Source organism: Homo sapiens, chromosome 12, assembly GCF_000001405.40.
Source record: "Homo sapiens chromosome 12, GRCh38.p14 Primary Assembly".
In the NCBI taxonomy this organism is placed as follows: domain Eukaryota; kingdom Metazoa; phylum Chordata; class Mammalia; order Primates; family Hominidae; genus Homo; species Homo sapiens.
Window position 1 is genome coordinate 40,758,948 of NC_000012.12, and position 20,047 is coordinate 40,778,994.

Consider the following 20,047-nt stretch of genomic DNA (forward strand, 5'->3'; position numbering starts at 1 on the left):
AGGCTGGAGTGCAATGGCCCGACCTCAGCTCACTGCAACCTCCCACTCTGGATTCAAGCTATTCTCCTGCCTCGGCCTCCCAAGTAGCTGGGATTACAGGCATGTATCACCATGCCTGGCTAATTTTGTATTTTTAGTAGAGATGGAGGTTTCATCATGTTGGTCAGGCTAGTCTCAAACTCCTGACCTTAAGTGATCCATTTGCCTCAGCCTCCCAATGTGCTGGAATTACAGGCATGAGCCACTGTGCCTGGTCAAGTATTCAGGTTTTATAGCAAAAGTTCCTGCTCAGTTTCCCAATAAGGTTTGTTTATACAAATGGAGGATTGAAACTTGCTTAGTTCTGATTGGTTGATAGAACTGAGCCCTGATTGGCTGGGTCAAGGGAGCTCTGATTGGTTGGTTTCCAAGCCCAAAACCAGAGGTCTCTGTTAGGTATTTTGTCTTTTTCTTTTTCCTTTTTTTCTCTTTCTTTCTCCCTCCCCTCCCCTCCCCTTCTTCCCTTCCCTTCCCTTTCCCTTTCTCTTTCTCTTTTTTAGACAGGGTCTCACTCTGTCACCTAGGCTGGAATGCGGTGAAATGCTTATGGCACACTGCATCTTCTACCTCCCAGGCTCAAGTGATCCTCCCACCTGAGCATCCCAAGTAGCTAGGACCACAGGCACCCACCATCATACCTGGCTAATTTTCTGTATTTTTTTTGTAGAGATGTGGTCTTGCTGTGTTGCCCAGGCTGGTCTTGAACTCCTGGGCTCAAGAAATCTGCCCACCTCGGCCTCCCAAAGTGCTGGGATTACAGGCGTGAGCCACCTCACTTGGCCCAGATATTTTTTTTTTTTTTTTTTTCAAAAAGCCACTGTGGGACTGGGGAGTGAATCAGGCAACAACTTATCTTGGCACCTACAACAGGAACTGATTTGACTTTATTATAGAAAGGAAGTCCTGTGATACTTTTATAACGTCTTTCTGAGAACACAAGAGTAGGTGACCACTCCCTTACCCAGCTATGGCCACCAGGTTCTGTCTTAAATATAGACATCTCAGTTAGCCACGGGGGTCCACTTTGCCTGTTGGTCAGGGACATACTTTAATACCTTAGATCTGGAATCAACCACTCCTCCAAGTTCTGATTGCCTTAGTATTGCAAGCCCTTAATCTGGGTGCCAGGGGATTTTATTGCTACCAAGCTGGGTTTGTTTTGGTTTTTTGCTTTTTTTAGTTGACAGTATAGGAAATATGTTTTGTTTTGATTTTGAATATAAAATATATTTTCAGTTCATACTGGCTTTTACAATGGAAATTTAAGGTTTCTGAATTTTTAATTACTTCTTACATCTGTACATCCTTCTTCCATGTGAAGCATCCCATGTGTCATGAAAACAAGAGATGACTATATATCAAAATTATATCACAAATTTATATCACAAAATTACACATTTGTTTTATCCTATAAAAAACACACAAGAATATCTACAATACAAACACTGCTACCAACATTATTATTATTGACAGCAGTTAATGTTTTTTTTTTTGCAGTTCTTTTGCAGTTCCTTAGATTATAGCTCACTAGGCGTGTGCAAATTATTGTGTTTTAAAATCGCTTGGAACTGCTGTTCGCAGTGTGGCTATACCAGTGACTGGATACACATTTGGATCTATTTATTTCATATTATTTTGTGATTTTAAAAGCTTTTTATTGAAAATTGGATTTTATTTTCTAATTACCCAAAATATTTACATGGTTCAATGAAAAAATACAAAACAAATTATATTTAAGTAAATCTAGTTGATAGCTCACACCCTGAACTCTATTTTTTTATCCCCTTATAGGTGACAACTTCAAAAAATAAATAGTTCATACTTACATTGTTGGTCTTTCAAAATAATGCACACACACACACACACACACTTCCACTTTGATATCATAAAGGCCAAGGATGTAGTCCATGTTACCTGTGTTCCCCTAACTTAATTTAATTTTATATGATATGCTCCAGAACACTGAATTGTTCCCTTGGAAAAAAATTACTCTGTCAAATAAAATTTAGAAAAATGGATTTGTCAAACTAAATAGGTTTTCTGGAAATGTGCATTATAATCTTCAGAGAAGATTATCATACATGTAGCATTTCACAAATGTATTTCATAGGTAATCTATTTGTAAATCAACATGATAAAATCTCTAAGTGAAATACAGTTTGGAAAATACTGACTTAATTCATGTACTATGGAGTTGTCAACAGATTTATCTAAAGACTTCCAATTTTTAAATATTTTTCATCTATACCAATTTTTAGAAAAACATACTCAGTAATTTAGTGTAGTAACACTTCTTTTTAGTTAGACACCATTTAATTTTCTCATAAAATAGTAGTGGGTATCTTTTAAAAGCATCCTAGACTTGGGAAATTATAATAAGATTTGTTCTTCTACCAATCTTCACTGGAGCACTTCTGTTCTTTAATCTGCGGTTTCCTTTTCTTTTTCTTGAAAAGTTTTAGTAAACTATTTTTAAATATATGATTCAGTCAGTTTTGATTCCTGGTTCTCAGTTTGGTTGTGGACATGTGGCATTAAAACATATTTTGGTTTTATTTTATTTCTTAGATAGATCAGCTTAAATACTTTAAAAGGTAAGGTTTTTTTAAAAATCTACTGGTTGGTAGCTGTTGCTTGTATGAGTATTTATATTTCAGTTATTTTACTTGTATTATTTTAAATTTAACATTTTTTTCTCCATAGTTAGAGGGTTTTTTGTTTGCCTGTCTGTTTTACTGTTCACTTGGATTTTGGGGACTGTTTGTGTCTTCAGTGAACAATCATCAAAGGCTAGAATCATAGAGAAATTAAAATGTTACTTTAGAATAGGCTAAACTTCTAAGCTTAATTAAACTTTCAAATTAATATCAGAATCCTAATTTAAGCTGAATGGCAATGCAGGATAACTGATTTCTCTGTTTTTGTTAGGGACACTTTTACAATACAATCCTAATTTAAGCTGAATGGCAATGCAGGATAACTGATTTCTCTGTTTTTGTTAGGGACACTTCTACAATACACATTGACTAGCACAGACATCACAAGGTCTTTACATTCCAGACTGTATACACTTGTTCCTCTTTAATTCACAATCAGCCTCAAATATATTAATCTCTGGGTAACTACAAGTAAGTATATATTTAAAGAAAGCTAGACTTTATTTTCTTTCAAAGGAATAGTAAGTACAAACATTATGAATTTTACTGTTACACATATACAAAGATCACCTCTAATATAGCCATTTACAAGTACAATGTCCAAAGTAGAAATAGCCTTAAACTACCACAAGAGGGATTTAGGGCAAACCTTTGACATTTTGTAGAACACCTTCATCAGTGACGAACTGCTAGATATACTCTTTAACTGTGAGTAAAAATCATGATGATAAGACAAGGAATTGGTCCATGGACAAATAGAAGTCATCACCTTAGAAAACAGATTAACATTTAAATGTTCTTAAGAATTCAGAGAAATAGTCAGAACTTATCCAAAATAACAGTATATTTAGGCAAAAACTTTACAAAATTTTAGATAAGTAATATGTACTATCATAAAAACTGAGCATAAGTTCAAAACAAAAAAAAGTAAACATCTTTATATAATATATGAGGATAAACGTTCTACTGCATAGAATAGTAAAAGAAGGAAAGGACTTGTGTCCTAGCAGCTGGGTTTGAATCTTCACTCATGCATAAGAGCTGTCTGAGTCCCTGCTTTGTGCTATACTGTGTGCAGGTACCACAGATAAAATGATGAGTAAAATTATACATGGCCCCTTTTCTTTTGTGGCTTACATTATAGTGGCTAAGACAGGAATTGAGTAAATAATAATAATAATGAAAGCATGTAATTAAAAAGTGAAATGGGTGCTCTGAAATTAAAATATAGTTTGAATATTTGTCCCCTCCAAATCTCATGTTGAAATCTGGTCCCCAGTGTTGGAGGTGGGGCCTAGTGGGAAGTGTTTGGGTCATGGGGCAGGAGCCCTCATGAATAGCTTGGCGCCCTCCCTGCGGTAACGATTGAATTCTCACTCTGTTAGTTCATGTGAGAGCAGGTTGTTTAAAAGAGCACAGTGCCCATCTTCACTTCTCTTCCTCTCTTTCTAGCCATGTGACAAATCTGCAGCCCCTTTGCCATGATTAAAGGTCTCCTGAGGCCCTGACCAGAAGCAAACGCTAGTGCCAGGCTTCTTGTACAGCCCGCAAAACTGTGAGCCAAATAAACTCCTTCTCTTTATAAATTACCCAGACTGTTTATAAATTACCCAGCCACCTTTATGGCAGTGCCAAATGGACTAAGACAGTAGGCAAATAAAATGAGCTTAGAAATCTTCATATTAATGGAAACTTAAATCTTGAGCAAAGGTCAGGAAAGAGTTCACTGATGGAGGAATTTAAGGGGAGATCTGAAGGTTAAGTAATATATTTATTAAGTAAATTTAGTAAGTAAATGAAGGGTGAGGGGCTTGTGCAGCTGACAATATTCTAGAGTGGAAAAATGTAGTAAGAACAAACGTTTTGCAGAGGGAAGAAACACATTGTATTAGGAAAATGGAAAGAATGTCACTGTGGCTAGTGTACAGAGAAAGGAAAGAAAATGAAAGGAAGGTGAGGCTAAAGAAAGGAGAAGAGGATACACCACAGAAGGCTTTGTAGGCCATTTAAAGTATTTGGGTCTTTGTCTAGGGTGCCACAGAATAAAATGAGGAAAACAAAGTGGGGCTTCAGAGCTATGTAATATCCATGACTAATTTATTGAAAAGTGAATTTCAATGAACTTACTGAAAATATGTTGAATTATCCTCACAATCACAAAATCTTATTGGCTTCTAAGTACACTTATTTCCCACTCAATGGTCTGAACATTTCCTGTAGCAGCTCTGCTCCAGATTTCAGACTCTAGGCCTGGGATCTCTCAGAATATCTCATTAGGGACTCAATATCTACCTGGACAATACTTTTCTTATAGCATGGGGTGTAGGAGATGGGGGCGGAAATAGCATGAGCCAAGCCAAACCATGGAAACACTTTTAAGGCTCTGTTTAGAGATGGTTTATTTCCATCTGTTCACATAAATGCTTTCCATTAACTGAAGCAAGTCACATGGCTAAATTCAAACTTAATAGAAGGGGTACTCCTTCCATAGAGGGAGTGTGGAGAAATGTGATTATTTATTGAACCATAATATCTACCTGAAGGATTTTCTGGAAGCTATGGGTTAGGAACGTTAAAGAACAATAGCACCAGGCAGATTAAGCAGGCAAGGAAGACTTTATTCAAGACTATTGCAGTATGGGAGAAAGACTGTTGCAGTAGGGGAAAGAGATTAGCCTCAACTCCAGTGAAACAAAAGGCAGAAAATGCTGAGATGAACTAATGCTGAGATGAACTAATGGAATAGTACTGAAGGACATTAAGAAAAGAGGTTTGTCTATTTGATTAAGCCATCTGTGTTTTCTAATTGTTTTTTATTGATGTTAGGCTCCTACTCTCCCACAGAGACTGGTAGATAAAGGTATTAATACTATCTTTTTTGATGACTACATTTCAAAGAAATGGCCTCCAGGCCCTTGAGAAAGACTTTCCTGGTATAGAAGATTTACTTCTCAAAAGTGCAGAGAAAGAACTCACAATTGCAAGTTTTAAAAAAGCAATGGTCTGAGAAAAGTGAAGTCAGGGGCTTATTGTTAGGAAGAAACCTGCCTAAATTCTAATAAAGTCGAGGGAAAAATGTAAGACTGTCTTGGTCAGAAGAAGGAACAACCATATGCTTAGAAGCATTTCAGCAATGTCCCTTAGAATTCCACCTTTCATGAGAAGATACTCTCCAGGCATTGTTGGATTTCTTCTTTGAACCATTGATTGTTTAGCAGCATATTGCTTAATTTACCAACATTTGGGGATTTTCTAGTTATCTTTTGGTTTATGATTTCAAATTAAATTTCCATTGAGATTAGAGAACATATTTTATTTTATCTGTGAGTCTGCTTTACAAAAATATTTGTAAAATGTTCCATAAGCACTTGAAAATAATGTGTTTTTGTAGTAATTGGGTACAATATTTTATATTATATATATTAGGTCATATAGAATATATATTTTATATATGTATATAAGGATATTAGGTTAATTGAGGATATTGTTGACAAGATTGATAATGGATATATATGCAGAATATGGTAAATAAAGGAATCAAGAATAACTCTAGATCCTTGCTTTGTGGCTTGACTTGAGTTGCAGTGTGAATGATGAGGACATTTTTCTGAGAGGAAAACTCAGAAAGGAACAGGTTCGAGTAATATGTCAAATTTGGCCATGCGAAGTTTAGATGTCATTTGACATACAAGTGGAGATGTCAATCCAGGAGTACAGTATAAAAGTTTGGAGCTCAGTGAAAGGATAGGAAGCTGATTCACAGATTTGGGAGTCTAATAGTATCACCTGGACAGAGCATTTAGCTAGAGAAGAGTCCTAATGTATTTCAACTTCAGAGATAGAACAGAGGCAAAGGAACAAGCAAAGGAGAACAAGAATGAGTCTTTAGGAAAGTGAGAGGAAAATAATAAGTTTGGTTAACAGAGTCAAGGGAAAAAATGTGTTTTAAGATGGAGTTCAGTGGCTAACTGTGTCAAATATTTCTAAAAGGTGAAGTAATATGAGAACAGAAAAATGACTATTGATTTTGACAATCCAAGACCTTTGATGACCTTGACAAGAATAGTTGGCAAAAGATGGTATAACACCCATATTTTTTGCCAATAGAAAATTTAAAACATTGTTTAATTCTGAAAGAATAAATAAATTCACACATTTATCAATCTCCTGCTGTATACAGGTCACTGGGGACACAAAGATAACAAATGATGTTTTAAGCTTTGATGGAGCTCATAGTGTTGGAGGGAATCAGACATGCAAAAACAAACTAAAACAAAATTTTACAAGTCCTGGGCAAAAGATATATCCAATGTTGTGGAAGCTGGAGATGCCTATGGTTATTTTAACTGTGGGAAACTAAGAGGAGGAAAGACTGGGGCTTGAGAAGTGCTTGACGGTTTTCTTGGCAAACATTAGAGGAAATTGCATTCCAGGCTGGGCACGGTGGCTCACGCCTGTAGTCCCAGCACTTTGGGAGGCCGAGGCCCGCAGATCACTTGAGGTCAAGGGTTCGAGATCAGTCTGGCCATCATGGCGAAACCCCATCTCTACTAAAAATACAAAAATTAGCCGGCATGGTGACATGTGCCTGTAATCCCAGCTACTTGGGAAGCTGAGGCAGGAGAGTCACTTGAACCCGGGAAGTGGTGGTTTCAGTGAGCTGAGATCATGCCACTGTACTCCAGCCTGGGTGACGGAATGAAACTCCGTCTTAAAAAAAAAAAAAAAAAGAAAGAAAGAAAAAGCATTCCAGCATTTCAAAAGCATTGAAGAATGTGCTCTAAAGGCTCAGAGGCAGAGCATTTAATGAAATAATCAGAGAACTGTACCATCACCTCTGAGATAATTAGAAATGTGTGTATGTATTGGATGGGGCTTGGTCCTGCAAATTTTAGGTGTTACTGGCCTTTAAAAGGGGTGGAGGGTACTAAATATCCTGTAATCCTTGGGTGGATTCTCTTGATCAACTTATCTGATGCACCCCAATAGGGTGTTTCCCTGTGGAATTGTAATAGAATATATTAGAGTGTGATACATGGAAGGACAGGTGGTGGTGGAGGATGAGAAGAGATGTTGGACAGTAGAGAGATGCAATGATAAATAATGGCAGATATTTTAGAAATAGAATACATTTAACCTGGAGACCAATCAGTTGGGTCTGAGGTCAGGCAAGGTTGTGACTGCCACCTTTTAGATGTGAGTCACTGTGTGGATAGTGGTGCTTCTCAATCAGACAGGAATATATGGACAGAGCAGATGTGAGCCTGTGGGAGATGTTGAATTTATTTTTGAACAGGTTAAATTTTAGGGGTCTATGGGAAATATTCAAGTATAATGTCCAGTATAAAACTGAAAATAGAAATCTGGACTTCAGAAGAGAGATTGGGAATGGAGATAGATTTGAGAATCATGGGTTAATAATAATGAACATTATAGTAATGAAAAGTTACTTTAAACAAATGTAATGATTCAAGGAAATATATATTTTTAATATGATCAAGGAGAGTATTTAGAAATTTCAAATTTCCAATTTATTTTACATAGTCTCTCCTTGGTCTGAAAATTACTAGGGGTCAAGGGGTCAATAATACTATGATATAAGATGTTTACTTCTTAATTAGTTCTTAATAATTGAATTATCTTATTTCTGCTGACCTTTCCTTTTTTTTTTTTTTTTTTTTTTGAGACGGAGTCTCGCTCTGTCGCCCAGGCTGGAGTGCAGTGGCACGATCTCGGCTCACTGCAAGCTCTGCCTCCCGGGTTCACCCCATTCTCCTGCCCCAGCCTCCCGAGTAGCTGGGACTACAGGCGTGCACCACCTCGCCCAGCTAATTTTCTGTATTTTTAGTAGAGATGGGGTTTCACCGTGTTAGCCAGGATGATCTCGATCTCCTGACCTCTTGATCCGCCCGCCTTGGCCTCCCAAAGTGCTGGGATTACAGGCATGAGCCACGGCTCCTGGCCCTTTTTTTGTTTGTTTGTTTGTTTGTTTGTTTGTTTGTTTGTTTGAGACGGCGTCTTGCTCTGTCGCCCAGGCTGGAGTGCAGTGGAGCGATCTCGGCTCACTGCAAGCTCCACCTCCCGGGTCTACTGACCTTTCTTTATATGTTACTTAAATACTACTTGAAAAGTTATCAAACTGAGATAATTTTCTTTCCACTTTTCTTATTAATTTATATTTTAGTAAGTAAAAATAAAGTGTTTTCCTTAAACAATTGACTTTTCTAACCTAGTAAATTATAAGGCCCATTAATGTTTCTTTAATACTTTGTATTCCCAAAAAGGAAAATCTTAATGTAATAAATGATTTTGTTGCAATATTTTATCAGTTATACTTCTAAAGACTGATCATTTCTATACTGATATACTTCTAAAGCTTATACATTTATAGACTGATAAAAATAATTTTAAAATAAATTTCTTCACAGTACAAATGGAGATTGGCTTTACAACGTTACTCATATTCTCGATGTATCCTTTAAATTCCTTTACAACATTTGTATTACAGTTTATAATTTACAAATTATTAATAGTTGCTGTGTTACTTAATTGTTACCACAATTCTCTGAAGTGGATGTCAGTAATGTTATTTCATGGAAAAAGACACTTTAGCTCAGAATTGAAGGTCACGTAGCTGGTAAGGGTTGAGGGGCCCTCAAGTTGGTTCCTCCACCGCGAGCCCGCAGATCTTTGTCCATACCCGGGCAATTTCAAAGCCATGTCAGTACTTTTGTTAAAACACCTGTTTGTACTGCTTTTACAAATCCCTTATAAGCACACACTAATTAGGAAATCATATCCTTTATAGAAAATGGCCAAGACGTGATCCATCTTTTCCTAACCCTCTGTCTTTTTCTCAACTAGGCACTAGTAAGCATCTTGTATGAAACTGAAAAAGTACTACACTTTTTGGGTTATAACAAAGCAAGGTTATTTTCATCTCTAACAGTTCCTGGCTGATCACCGTGTTCCATGCCACAGAAAAGCCTTTAATTCCTTTAAACAACGTACTGAAGCCAAGAATTAGCATTCTTTCTGGCTGAATTGCAACTGCACACAGGTTGGCCTCTCATTTTTACAACAATGTTTTCATTAGGTCAGCTGAAAGGCTGACTTCTCTGAATGCAAAGTGAGAAACAGACAAGGAAGAGGAGTTTGAGCAAGAAATAATCTCTAGTGAGTCCCTTGTGTACATTTTCTCAAATTTTAAATAGTAAGTTTATTCTTATGTGCAATCAAGGACTATTTATTTTTATTTTATTATACATAAGAATCTTTTATTTTTATGTTATTGCATATGTTCATATATAAACATATATGTTTACATGTTCTTTCAAACTCTGGTGGTGTCCCCAAAACAGTGTGCTGTGATGATCAGCATGAACCAATCATCCCAAAGCAGGGTCTACAGAAGGTCTGAGTGGGTATAATTGCTTTCTAGTGGCAATTCATTATTGCAAATTACAAAGTCAGATATACCATAGTGCATCTGTGTGGAATTATAAAGTATTCATTATTGTTATTTTCATTCCTAGATTCAACATGCTTTAAAAAAAACATAAAATAAAAATAAGCAGAATAATTCTATGAAGATGAATTTTAGTAGTTGTAAACAATATATCTTTTTTTCTGAAACACATGAGCAATTGATTTTTATTAGTGGGAGGGGAAGAATAACATTGCACTAAATTCAATCTTCTGATAAACATGATGTTAATGTTATTAAATATCATAGCCAATTGTAATTATTTTGGAAACAAGAGCAGACTATGAAGTGCATCTTGTGTTTGCCCATGGCCAACAATTAAAATTCAATTTATACAGGAGAAAAAAATAAATACATTATAGATTTGGTGTTTAATGATATTTATTCTGACATTTATGAACTGAACTCTAGTATGTTTCAATTAACCCAGTGTAAGAGGAAACAACCAGCAATGTGAGGGCTTATTTAGTTAGATACAGTGCATAGGAACTTGTCTTCATTTAAAATTTTTGTGTTTTGTTCATCATGAATTTTTGCATCAATTTTGCTGCTTTAGGATATTGCATTAAAATATTATTTATCTTTATTAGGGATTTTTTTTGGAGTTCCCTTAAATTTTGCACCTGAGGCAAGTGCCTTATTGTTTCATCCTGGTCCTGGCCCTGTACTGTTTAGATATTTTAAAGGCAATAATAAATTGTAATATTTATAGAAATATACCTCTAGGAAAGGTTTCATCCTTGGCCCAGTAATTAGTTATGTGTAAATATCTCTAACAGAACATTATTAAAAATAAAAAACGGGAAACATATGTAGAGAGGAGAAGACCTAAGGGCCTATGAACTCTGTTGCAGAGAAGTGAGAAGAGAGTTCTGTTAGGTTGTTTTGCACTCAGGCACAGTGTTCTTTTGACAGGTAGTGAAACAAAAACTGTAACCCTATTGAGATTGGAGGAGCTCTATAGCCTTAGTCATGCCAAGCTTTGTATTTTGTTAAATACTACCAAATCCCTCTTTATAAAGCAATCAACTTTTTTTAGCGCCTCAGAGTATGCCACTGTTACCTGGAAAGAGGGGGTTCCTTGGAGAATAAATTGGCAGTCTTTGTAACCTCAGTTATTCTGGAGAGGCATTCACCAAATCAGTGATCCAGAGAAAGAACAGCCCTCAGGCCCAGGGTTGCATTCAGAAAATTTTCAGAGGAAATCATTAAAATCTCTTTGAGTCTTTTCTAAAGGGCCAACTTAGATGCAATATTATCTGGAACTGGAAATAAAACTAGCACTAGAATAATAAAATTTTCAGTAATAAAGCATATATAAATGGAATCAGAACATTTCTATGGTAAACTTTTGTTAAAATACAGCCATTAGATTTTCATATGCATGGATGTGTGTATATGTGCATGTGTGTGAATGTGTGTATTTTCAATGCTTTAGGTATTGAAGCCATGAAAAGAATTAGTAAAGGGTGTATATATAGCCTATACCAATTCACATATTGGGTTCAAATAGGAATTTTAGAGTCTAGATGCCATATAAGGAATACATAAAGCTTAACATATAATATGCCATTAACAAAAATATAATCACAAATATTTCTAAAATGTGTATAAAGAGGGGATGATCAGAGATTGTGCAAGAGACTGAGACTGGCCTGACTTGATTCATGCTTTTTCTGTTACGTGAACTTTATTGGATAGTCTAAAGCACATGGTATATGCAAAATAATAAATATAAAATATGAAGCTATTACATTTTACTAGTGACAATGAAATAAGCAGGGGCGGGTGCATTATGAAACTAATGAGGTGGAAACTCCCTTATTAGTGTTTCAATTTTAATTCATTGTTTTCCAATCCTGTGAGCTGAGTCTTGCTTTGCTTATTGAGTCAGAAACCTCAGTGCATTTTCATTTGTTCATAATTATAGTCTGTCCATGTACTAAAGAAGCCTGCTCTAAGAGAAACCCAGGAAATAAATTCAATAGGATCTCATGAAACTTTTAGAATATTCTAATAAGAAATCACATTAGACATAAATTTAATTCTGCTACAATTAGAGAAAAGATTGAGGCTTGTGAAAGCTTGTTGAATTAGGATCACACTCAGAGAGTATTAGAATCTGGGCTAGAACCATTTCTCAGGCTTGCAAACTAAAATTCTTTTCTTCATATCAGTCTGTCATCCTGTATTCTTTCCATGAATGGTCACTATGTATATTTTTTACTTTGGCTTTAGGATAATTTGCCGAGAAGCTTAATTTTGAAGTAAAATAAAGTCAATGTCTAGTGTTATTTATTTCTTTTATAATGTTGTTCTTGCAAATATTCTGCTAGATATGGGAAACTCTATATATTTAAGAGGGATATGTTCTTATTTAGACAGCCCAGACAGAGGAAACCTGACTATTTATCTAATCTGTGCTGATGCAGAAAGTCCTCAATTCAGGATTAGTCAATGATAGTGTAAATAAGTGGGAAAGATATGTATTGCTGCTTTCATGAGCAACTGAGCTGCAGAATTAATAAGCACAATAGGCACCTATAAGCTGTGGGTTGCCTATGGCCCTACCCAAGGAGAACGGCCAGTTGTAAAATTGGTTAGGGTGGGTGGTGTATTTATGAGGTGTCCAAAAAATAAAATATGAGATCTATTATAATTATTTGGTAATACTAATTATTTAATAATATCAATTTTATATGATTTTTAATTTTTGTTTAAAAGACAATTTAAATGGTCTTGATCTGCACCCTCTTCCTTAATGCTATGCCGAGGGAAATACACACATAGCAATTTGGACAGAACACATGGCAAGTGGCAGAGGAGGATTAGAATCTAAGTCTCCAGGGCTCCTGGCTCCTTAGATTTCTCAGAAAATTATGCTTGTAACTTTATATGGTCAAGTAAATTTACTGGAGGAGAAATCTGGTTATCCAGATACTGGAATACTAATTTTGGCTTCACCTCCAACCCTTCATATAAACTTTTTTCTCATATTTATTTCTTATCTGCAAAATAATATACTGCAGATGTTATATGGAATTGTGAATTATTCACATAATTCGGAATAAAGTTGTTTCTAAATTGCCTTCAAGTATTTGTGCTTTAAAGATAGATTATTTTTTATCCATGTGGTACAAGTAAAAAGCAAAAAGAACATGAACTTTCTTTGGCTGAAGCAATCACGCTCATTTGTTTGTCATCACATATTGTGTCTTATCACAATGTAATAGATGACTTCCATAGTAAGTTACCTAGAGGAATTTTAATTATAATATGAGAAGTTAAAGCCAGAGAATAAAGAATTAAAATCTAATCTGGTATTAAAACTAAGAAGAAGCAAAATAGAGGGGAGATATTAATACTTGCCACAGCGTTATAAGTTTGAAAGATTAACTTTATACCTATACCTGTACAATTTTTGCCATGTTTTCTCTTACCCAGTAATTCAATACTGTAAGTTGAGTATTTAGGCTTATGAAAAATAAATATAAGTATCATTCTGTACCTTGATAATTTCAAAATGAATATTGAGCTGATGTTGGGAAGGCATTGAATATATCTTAACAGGACAATCAGATTATTATGGCTGTGACATAAGAATGTTTCTCTGGAATCAATGCGCCAGATAAACTGGAAAAGGAGGCTAATTAAAAAGTTGTTGTAATTGTCTAAGCAATAGAAAGAAGGGCTTCATTAGCATGGGGACAGTGAGACTAAAAAGATTGTAGACCCCATTAAAATTGCCACTTCACATGCTGTTAATTTCTATGGGAAGTGGAACTAAAATGCACTGTGTCAAGCTCAGGTAAGTGGAAAAGAAGTATACATATCGTGTGTGCGAATATATATCGTGGATTGGATATACGCACATTGGATATACATATATTCCAAACTTTTGTAACTAATCTTAGATAGGCAAATGTGTATAAACTTTGCTTTGGTTGATATATTAGTTCTTTTAAAAATTCATGCAATATATCCACCATATGTTGACTCTAATATTAATGTTTCTGTCAAATAACACCTTCAAATAAGTTTAAACTCCATAAAAATTAATACCTGAGTTAAAGACAACTGAATTCCATATTTGTTTTATGAGACAAAGTGCTGATAAAACACTCTATGTAAGCCTGTAGCCTACTCCTTTTCTGCTCTGACTGGCTTGGCACTTTTCGTTTTAGAAAACGATAGTTAAGTCGTTTTAGTTTTAATTTTACATTCATCCTGTACAACAGTGAGGATTCAGACATTTTTCCATCCTTTCAAATTCTCAAAACCTATATTTATTTTTAAAAATATAAGAATAGATGTGTAAACCTAGGAAATGATTTTAATATACATAGTTAACATTTCATTGACTTTCATATGTTAAATCTGTGCTGTGTGAGCAGCAGGAAGCTACAGAGACTTCCGAAAACAAAACAAAACAGTGTTAGCTTTATGATAGTGCTCAGCATTCTTCACTTTAAACAATGTTTTTCTGACCTCTGACCAGAAACTGTATATATATATATATATATATACACATATATATATATATACACATATATATATATATATACACATATATATATATATATATACACATATATATATATATGTTGCTATTCTAAGTACTTTCTGGCAAGTGTGAGCTGTTATCCCTGTTCTTAACAAGCAAATTTTGCACAAAAATTAGAGCATATTTCCAAAGCAATGTATCAGCAAACATTAGTTTACATTATATATAATTGTTAGAAGCATATCTTTAGTATTGGACACAGAACTCCAGATATGATCTCGTCAAATGCAATTTTCATGGAACTTATTTTTGTCAGCACACTTACCATCTTCTTTCTCTACAATTTAAGCTCAACGACGGAAAAGATGTGTTTGACTTGTTCTCATTGGTTGTCACTGTATTTGCAATGCCCTGAAGAAGCTGGAGTATAGAACAAGCTGAAGTAGGCAGACCCTCATGAGCAAAAACATGTAATTCCAAACAAGGAAGATTGTAAGATAACATAATAACTTGGTTGATATAGGTGGGACGAGTTGATCAGGGAAGAGAGAAGCTCAAAACAAATTGAAGACTACATTTTTTTTTGTAAAATTAAGATCTGTAAGTGAGGATTGGTGACAAAAGGAAGGAGCCTCATATTTGAAAGAGCTCCTCAGAAGGTTGCCAAGTAGTGTGGGGTTTGTATTGTTGGAAAGGCTCTCTAAGGAAGGCAGTCACGATTGTGATGTCTAAAGAGAATTTCAAAGACTGGATTCATCTCTGAATGTTTAAGGGAAGACATCGATCTATCAGTAGTTCAATTATTCATGAGAGGGAAATTTGCAATCTCACAAGACAGCACATATTTAAAGAATGATTATAGAAAATATATGTGATCTGATGAGAGTCTCCTCCAAGGAGAGAAAAACTAATGGTGATTGTCAACTTTCATGAATATTTTAACAAATAAATAAACTCAATGTGATAAAGTCTGCTTTATAACGTATTCTACTGCTTCCTCTCCAGTGTAATTTCATGAATAACTACAGAAATCACACACTTAACTCTCATCTCAATATATAATTTAGCTATTATTGAATCTTCTTGCACTAAGAGAACATTTAAATTATGCTTTTAGTCTTCTACTTTTGGCCTTTTTTTTTTATTACCTTTCTCTAGTTTTTTAAAATCAAAGTTTACTAAAATATTTAAAAGAGAAATTAGAGCAACTAAGTCTTTTTAAATTTTTTATTAGTATGGTTAAATAATAGTTGTACATATTTATAAGGTACATGTGATACTTTGATATAAGTATACAATATGTAATGATTAAATAAGGATAATAGAGTTATCCATCATCTCAAGTATTTATCATTTCTTTGTATTTGGAGCATTCCAATTCAACTGGCTTAATTTAAAATGTACAATAAATTATTGTTAATTTTGGTCACTCTTTTTTGCTACTGAACACCCGCTCTTATTCCTTCTATCTTACTATATTTTTGTACCCATTAACCATCCCCTCTTTATTGTTCTTTCTAATGTTTAATAGGAAAGTGGTTATTTATCTTGATCTACTATATGGAGGAGAGATTTTAAAAATAACTTTAGATGCTGTATTTGGAAGGAAACTAACATATTTAAATGAAGACCACAATTAAATGTTTTTAAATATAATGCATGTTTCTTTAATATAAATGAATTATATATAATGTAATGTATATTTCCTTTGGTAGATATTAATTTGGAAAAATTTTTAGGTATGAGATATAATTACCTAGAGGCCTAGAAACTTGGGTAAGTAGTTTATCTTTAGTTCTATAATTATTTTTTTCCATTATATTTTGGGTACTAAATAAATGTCTCTTTGATTACAGATCTAAGCCTGATATCCTAGTAGGGAATAACATATGTATATTAGGACTAGGCCACGGTTTATCTTTTTTTCTGTTTACTTTTTACTTCATTTGAGAAATCGTTTCTCCTAATCACAAGTAAAATATGAACATACTTTAAGTCTGGAAATCAGCAATTCAAAAACTAAAGTGTACAAATACATAAATCCATGAGTTTAAAGAAAGACAGTAGAAAGACAGAGTTACATAATAAATTTTGTTATGTGTAGGCACCAGCAAGTTTTTTCTTATAAATTAAGACCTAAGTTAGACACAAATAACTAAGACAATGGTGACTTGAAATGCTAGAAACATTGCGGGGTAACATTGCCAAAAACAAGTAAGCAAACAAGAAAAAGCCCCAGAGATCAATGTGAGTCAAAAACGTAGTGTAAGTAGTATGTTGTCACTGCATAGTTACTTCATGAGTCAATTACAGATATAGATAGATTTTTAATAGTATAAAACAAAAGTTTTTTGAATTATACAGTGTAGCTTATTAATTATCCATTGTAAAAGTTACAATAGCAACTATTTAGGGCATTTGCCTCATTCCACATGTTGTATGGTAATGTTATTGCAGCCCAAAGCACTGATATTTCTCTATTATTCCTTTGTTTTAAATTTCTATTCTTTTTTATTTAAAATGGGCCACAAATTATAGTTTCTGTGTTATACTAGCCAGTGTACAGTTGGGACTCATTACTGAGTATAGAATTCTACAACACTGTAAGACAGATAAGATCAAGAGTTCTCAACAAGAGTTGGACACATAAGATAAAAGTAAAGCCTTTATAACAAACCAAAATTCACTGAATTGCACACTTAAAATAGATCAGTTTTGGGGTGTGCAAATTATATATCAATAAAGTTACTTTTTTTTCTTTTGTTTTGTTTTAAGATAGAACCAGGAGAGGATTTCACTTCCAGCCATTATTGATTTGTGACTCGTAATTCTTAGGTCTTCTGTGAAATACTGTGGGGTCAATTACTCATGCCTCATTTTTATATTTTGAATTGCTCCTTTTTTCCAGATACATTCCCAACTTTAAAAATGCCCATTGAGCTTACATTCTTAAAAACAAACAGGAAACAAACAAAAATCTTTCTCTATCCCTACTTCCTTCTTTTCTGACTTCTAAGTTTTAGACTTAAGAAAGGAATAGTCTCTGTATTATTTCAACATCTTTAACACCTCCCTTTACTATTGGGTTGAGAGTGACTTTGCAGAATTCACCAGTTACTCTTGAATTGCCAGCTATAATGATTTCTGTACAATTCTCATTTTTCTAGAACTCTATCAAGTAGGCGACACACTTAAGAAACTCTTTTCATTAAAGCAGTTTTTGTTTTTGGCTTCAGTGACCTATTTTTAACATGTTATATATTTTCTCTGGCCACACTTTTATACTGTTATTTTGTTTTTTGTTTATCTTGTATATCCCACCTCTCCCAGTCTTAAATTCTTCCCACTTATGTCCCCTGATTCTCTTGGCATTAACTGTCACACCTCTATAAAAATGGCATCCCAAACCCTAACTCTAGCCTTGACCTCTCTCTTTACTTTGGGTACATATATTCAACTTCCTTTTTGATCAATATAACATTTCTCACTAAACCTTAAAGCGAAAATCATCTGTCTTTCTCCAGACTCTATCTCCAATATCAAGTAATAGCATATCCATACATCTAGTCAACCATGCTAGGATAGTCAGGGTATCTAATTACTATGTTTTTTTTTTTTAATTCTCTATATCCAATCAGTTACCAAGTCTTATCAATTCTATCTTGAAATTTCTTTTATATATGAAACCTTTCTGTGTGTATATAATAATAAGCTCTTCCTAGGACTTAAAGGAAGGGAAAGGCTAATGTTACATATGCTGTCTGGGAACACAGCATTTCCTGAATACCTTACTCTTTGGTAACACCTAGGCGACCCTCCTGGCACAGAGTTTAGCCTAATGTAAAAGAACAAGTCTTCAGGGTCAGCACAGGATGAGTACTATCACATATGGCATATTGCAGTGAATTAGAAAAAGATTCCTTCTGTAATATACATCCTTCTTTTTAAAAAAGTCACAATGTAAATTTTTTAAGAAAAATATATTTTACTGCCATCTATGGGAAAAAGTCTGGAATGAATATACAAATCTGCATTGTCTATGCTCTGATATGTCGTGTTCTAAGGGGTGCATAAACTGCATGAGCACACATGGTAGCTCTGCGTAATGCTGTGCTTTTCAAACCCCGGTCCAACTGTTTAGTAGCTTAACCTTGGTAATATACTCAACAACTTTGAGCTTCAGATTCATCACCTATGGCATGATTAATAACAGTCTCTTTCAGTCAGTCTTTGGGAAGGGTAAATATGGAAATATGTATAAGTAATAAGCAACTTCAAATTTACCTGTAGATGTTTCCAGTCTACTGCCTCAAAAGCACATCATGACAAGATACCAGATTATGGAAGTCCTTACGCTAATGTAAAGGGGCAATGAAAACACTGTTGGTTTTAACATTTCACTACAAATCATTAAACATGTCTTCAGGAATATTTATTTGAGGTCATTTCAAAAGAACCAGAGGAACAGTCATCCTATTTTTTTAATAACTCAGGATGTAGCCTGGAATCTAATTGTACCTGAATGTTGGACAAAACTATGTGAAGGCTTATTACCAAACTATAAAAAAGTATCTTGGCTTCACCATTTCCATGTTATCATCATATTTTATTGTTCTCCTATTTCAGAGGTCAGCAAAGCACAGGCCATGGACTATATCCAACCCCTGTACTGTTTTTGTAAATAAAGTTTTATTGGAACATAGCCACATGCATTCATTTATATACAGTCTAGGCTGCTTTCCTGATACAAGGGCAGAATTGGGTAGTTGTCACAGAGACCATATGGTCTGGAAAGAACAAAGTATTTATCTGGCCTTTATGCAAAATATTTATGAACCCCTGATTTTTTATCCATTTTAAAATACCAATTCACTTGACTTTCCATTTTGCTCAATTCTACAAATAGACAAAAAATATTATATTAATCTGGAGCATATTGAGTCTCATTTTGCCTTTCAAAGTATCTTTTATGAATGAACATAAACCTAATTATAGCATGCTGGCTTAAACACGAACAATCCCTTAGGTTTTATCTTAAAAAACAAAACAAAACTAACCAAAAAAAACCTAAGACAAAGCAACTTGTTCATTTTTGCCAGATTTTTATTGGAACTACATAGAAAATATTTCCTATAAGAAATTGGCTCTCAACGACTGATTGTTTTGTCATTAAAATATAATAGTGGGGAAAAGTCCATTTAGTAGTTTTAGAAGAGCCATGTTATTTGATGATACAGTGACTGAGTTAGTTGCCTGTTTGAAACTATTTTTGGTTGATAGTCAGGAAATTCCATGAGTGCCTACTTCATTCATTAAATCAAGTAGTTGAAACCTTTCCTTTTCATATGGAAAAATGACTAA

At 34.4% G+C, this 20,047-nt stretch overlaps 1 protein-coding gene across 4 annotated transcripts in view; it reads left to right on the forward strand.

Annotated features, from left to right (window-relative positions):
* The window catches only part of CNTN1 (contactin 1), a 379,977-nt gene that overhangs the window by 66,509 nt on the left and 293,421 nt on the right, over positions 1–20,047 (forward strand). For 2 of the 4 annotated variants that reach the window (XM_011537926.4, XM_024448843.2), the window contains exon 2: positions 4,149–4,251. The exons of the other annotated variants lie outside the window; for them this stretch is intronic. The gene's annotated coding sequence lies outside the window, so the exon portion shown is untranslated. The remainder of the gene's footprint in view (positions 1–4,148; positions 4,252–20,047) is intronic. 4 annotated transcript variants of the gene reach the window in all.